The sequence below is a fragment of the Homo sapiens genome, chromosome 15, assembly GCF_000001405.40.
Source record: "Homo sapiens chromosome 15, GRCh38.p14 Primary Assembly".
Lineage (NCBI taxonomy): Eukaryota > Metazoa > Chordata > Mammalia > Primates > Hominidae > Homo > Homo sapiens.
In genome coordinates this window covers 43,318,625-43,323,648 of record NC_000015.10, presented here as the reverse complement: position 1 = coordinate 43,323,648, position 5,024 = coordinate 43,318,625, and positions in this window count along the sequence as shown.

Sequence of the window (5,024 nt, the reverse complement as noted above, 5' to 3'; positions counted from 1 at the left end):
TTGCAACTTTCAGCTGATTCTCATCCTCTTTTGCTCAACAATTACTGTATTCTTTGGAGATTAAATGAGTTAACTTTGCAAAAGGCTAATCTGGGGGAGTGGGAACATGCAATTAAATGTACTTGTGAGCACATATACACAGGATCTTCCTAGGATGTTGTGATGGTTCACTGGGCATGACTTTGTGTGTAACTCTCAAAGGAAGTTTAATAGAGGAAGAGGAAAGACCTTGCCCTAATTTTTATGTGAAAAGTCATTTGCCACCTAATTGTCAGACTAAAGATAGGAAATAAATTGAAATAATAATGGCTTTTAGGATATTACATGGCATTCTGCTTTTCTCATTCCCCAGCCTTTGTCCACATTTTTAGGCTTTCCATTAGAGCCCCAACCTCTGATTCATATTTAGACATATTGCTTCAGAAGAAGTTAGCAAAGCTGATCTTTCTTGTTTATGGATCCATCAGCAACTTAACCAATATTTAAGGAAAATAAATGTTGCCATTCCCTTTCCTCCCCGCTAAAAAACCCTTAGTTAAAAAAGTAGAGTCTAGGCCCCAATCCATTGAATTTACATTTGAACAGTTGAGTCCAGTCAGCAATAATTTTTTTTTTTTTGAGATGGAGTCTCACTTTGTCACCAGGCTGGAGTGCAGTGGCACAATCTCAGCTCACTGCAACCTCAGCCCCCAGGTTCAAGAGATTCTCCTGCCTCAGCCTCCTGAGTAGCTGGGACTATAGGCGCATGCCATCACGCCCAGCTAATTTTTGTATTTTTAGTAGAGACGGGGTTTCACCATGTTGGCCAGGATGGTCTCGATCTCTTGACCTCGTGATCTGCCTGCCTCAGCCTCCCAAAGTGCTGGTATTACAGGCGTGAGCCACCACACCCAGCCTAGTCAACAATATTTTTATGTTCAGTGCATAACATATTTATCACATGAATGTACGGATGACTGATTTAAGCTCAAATCAGTAATAAATGAGTAGTAAATTGTAATGTTGAAATCAGAGATTACCACCAGAAAATCAAAATATAGTTTAATGTCATAATTAAAAATAGTTTGGTATTGATGTCACAATAAATAAATCAAAGGAATAAAGAATTAAAAACAGACTGTGTGATAAGGTGACATTTCAAATCAATGAGGAAAGGCTGGATTATTTAGTATATGGTCTGGGCTGATCTGTATTTATGAAAATGATGTTAGCACCCTATTTCTGACAAGTCACAAGCATAAATTCCAAAGGGATTAAAGACCAGACACAAATTTTTAAATAGCACACACACAACCTAAATTGGATGAGCATTAGAACAAGTATAAAAGAATATGATTACAACGTTGGTGGTAGGAAAGTCCTTAAAGAATGCAGAAATACAAACAAAATGAATAGAGAAAAAAAACGATAACTTTATACAGGTATTTAAAACTTCTGGACAGCAAGAAAATACATTAAAATGTTAAAATATTAGTGGTCAACTAATATTTTAGTTTGTAATTCCTCTCTTCCTTAGATGAATAGCTCACAAGGTATCCCTTCCTTCTCCAGAGTCATCATGCCCTGTGGAGATTTTGGTTTTTCTTTTTCAATCAGTACCTGAATTAAGATGCACAGAACTAATCCCTCAGTTTCTCAATATTAGCTTCTGAGATACATTAAGAATGGGAAATTTGAGTAATGGAAGATGGAGCTTTCAATCGAAGATATTCATTCATTCATCCATTCAGCATTTGATGGTTCTAAGCAGATACATCAGCAAACCAAATAATCCATTGTGGAATTTACAACCTAGCAGAAGGAGATGAGAGATTAAACTATCAGGATGATAAATACAGTGCATAATAAATACAGTATGTAAGTAAGAAGGACTTGGAAAAAAGTAAAGTAGGATAAGGAGGATCAGGAGTGCATGGGGGTGCAGGTAGTGGTTTACAATACTAACTAGGTAGGGCAGATAGAGTCTCTCTCACGGAGAGGTGAAACTTCAGCAAAGATTTGAGGATGCAAAAGAATTAGCTAAGTAGATTACTGGGAAAATAATATTTCAGACAGAGGAAATAGCCAGAGCAAAGCTCCTAATGCTACTCATTAAGAACTTTGGCTTTTCATCTGGTGAAAAGGGGAGTTGTGCAGGGCTCTGGATTATATCGTTTGACTTACTTTTTTTTTTTTTTTAATAGACTTTATCTTTTAAAGCAGTTTAAGGTTCACAGCAAAACTGAGAGAAAGGCACAGAGATCTCCCATATAAAGCCTGCCTCCACCCACGGATAGTTTCCCCCACATCAACACCCCTACCTACCTGATGAACCTACACCGACACATCATTACCACCACAGTTTACATTAGGGTTCGCTCTTGGAGTGGTACATTTGATGGGTTTGGACAAGTGTATAATGACATGCATCTGCATGTATTATAGTATCATACAGAATAGTTTTGCTATCCTAAAAATCCTCTGTGCTCCACCTATTCATCTCCCCCCGCCAGATGCCTGGCATTCACTAATTTTTTTTTTTTTTTTTACTGTCTTCATAATTTTGACTTTTCCAGAATGTGATATGGTTGAAATCATACAGCCTTTTTAGACTGGCTTCTTTCACTTTGACTTACATTTTTTATTTTTATTTTTATTTTTTTGAGACAGAGTTTTCCTCCTGTTGCCCAGGCTGGAATGCAATGGCGCGATCTCGGCTCACTGCATCCTCTGCCTCCCAGGTTCAAGCGATTCTCCGGCCTCAGCCTCCCTAGTAGCCAGGATTACAGTCACCTGCCACCACGCCTGACTAATTTTTTTGTATTTTTTAGTACAGACGGGGTTTCTCCATATTGGCCAGGATGGTCTCGATCTCCTGATCTCGTGATCGGCCCACCTTGGCTTCCTAAAATGCTGGGATTATAGGCGTGAGCCACCGCGCCTGGCCCACACTTTGACTTACATTTTTAAACGATTCCTCTAGTGAGGAGATTTGGTTGTAGGAGTTCAAGAGTCTAAGCAGGGAGACTTGTTGGAAGGTTTTGCAGTAATCAAAATGAGAGATGATGTGAATTCAGCTGGAGATTGTGAGAAATGATAAGATTTGGAGGCTATTCTGAAGGTAGACCCAACAGAATTTCCTAATGGACTGGATATGGAGTATGATAGAGAAGAGTGAAGGATGGGATCCAAGACTTGAGGCCTCAGTAACTGGAAGGTTGGAGTCGCCATCACCTGAGATGGGGGAGGCTCCCTGTGGCACAGAGTTTTAGGGGGAGTTTAGGATTCAGGTTGGATATGCTGATGTTGGGATGTCTGTTAGATATCCGAATGAAGATCTACTGACTCAAATATTTATTTTATAACCTTCTTCCTCATCCTCTACATTCACCCACTTTTTTCTTTTTCTTCTTCTGCAAATATCCAGACCCAATACAGGAATGGGACTAGCAAATAAAAATGGTTAAATTGGAAATGCAAATTGTAGCTGAGGAATAGGAGCAAATACCCTGTGAGATGGCCCAAGCCTGGCTGGTCCTGGCTTCCAAAGCTGCTTTCATTCAGACTCATTGTTTTGTTTTCTCTTTTTCATGACTTTTCTTTCTTTCTATGTTAATATTTATTACACTGTGTAATTCTTTATTAGCAGTGTTTTCAGAAAGCTAGAATCAGATAATCCTCATCTCACAAGCCTATCCCCTGAAACAGTTCCTCATGCCACCTCCCCTTACTTGGCATCCTAGTTGCTGGTACTATACCCAGTTCCCAAAGTACATGATGCTGTTTCATGCCTCCATTCCTTTACTCACAATGTTCTTCCTGTCTGGACTCTTAATATTGTTTCTCCTATCCCATTTCCAAGCCATCCCAACCTTGTTCACACAATTCTTATTTGATTTTCAAACCTTAGCTTTGAGGCCTGGAAACAGTGGCTTGTGCCTATAATTCTAGCACTTTGGGAGCACAAGGAGGGAGGTTCCCTTGAGCTCAGGAGTTTGAGACCAGCCTGGGTAACATAGGGAGACCCCTGTCTCAACAAAGAATAAAAAAATTTAGCCATGCGCTGTGGTGCCTGCCTGTAGTCCCAGCTACTTGCTCAAGGAGGATCCCTTGAGCCTGGGAGATCAAGGCTACAGTGAGCTGTGATGGCTCCACTGCACTCCAGCCTGAGCAACAGAGCGAGACCCTGTCTCAAAAATAAAAATAAAAAGCAAAGTTTCCCTTTGGAAAGCATTTCCTGATTCGAACCCTGCCCACTTTCAGGCTGGGATAGGTTGCCCTTCTTTTGTATTGCCATAGCACCTTATAAATATCATCCATACTGCATTTATCATATTTTGTTTAATCTGTGTTTCAGTCCGTCTTCTCACTTCAGACTGAAGTTCCTTGTTAGCAGGAATAGTATCTTATTTATCTTTGTACTCCTAGTACCCAGCACTCTATAAACACTTAAGTGAACAAGAGTCTCTCCTTATGGGTGTTTAACTTCTTAAAGCCAGGCATTTCTCATGCCCTTTCAATGTAACAAATCCTGTACCACTGGCTTCCTGGGGAAGGATAGGGAAGGATAGGGTAGCACCAGAGAGCAATAATACAGTGACATCCAAAAAAAATCACAAGCTTTTGTCATGCAAACCTGTGCCCTTGGTCACAAACTCAGAGAATCAGCCAGCACCTTTAGAACAGAGCTGTGATTATACACAACTGCTTTCTGGAACCCCATTCTCAGCCCTGCTGCTTCCTTCATCTCCCACTGAGACATCTTGTGGGTAGTGATGGGGGTAAGAAGCCATACAGACAGCGAGTTTTTATTGTTTTAGTAGAAGACTGGTATAGAAATTGCATTTTAACTACTAAGATTCACTCCATTATGACTTCAACCAGCATCCTACTTTCTAGCCTAGATTTTTTCAGTTTTGGTAAGACATCCCTGTGGCCACTGTTGGTTTCAGCTGAACACCTAGACTCACACCAGTGTTAATTTAACTATACAGATTCAGCTAGAACACATAGCAGCTCAGGGTTTCTGCATCCTGCTATGTGTT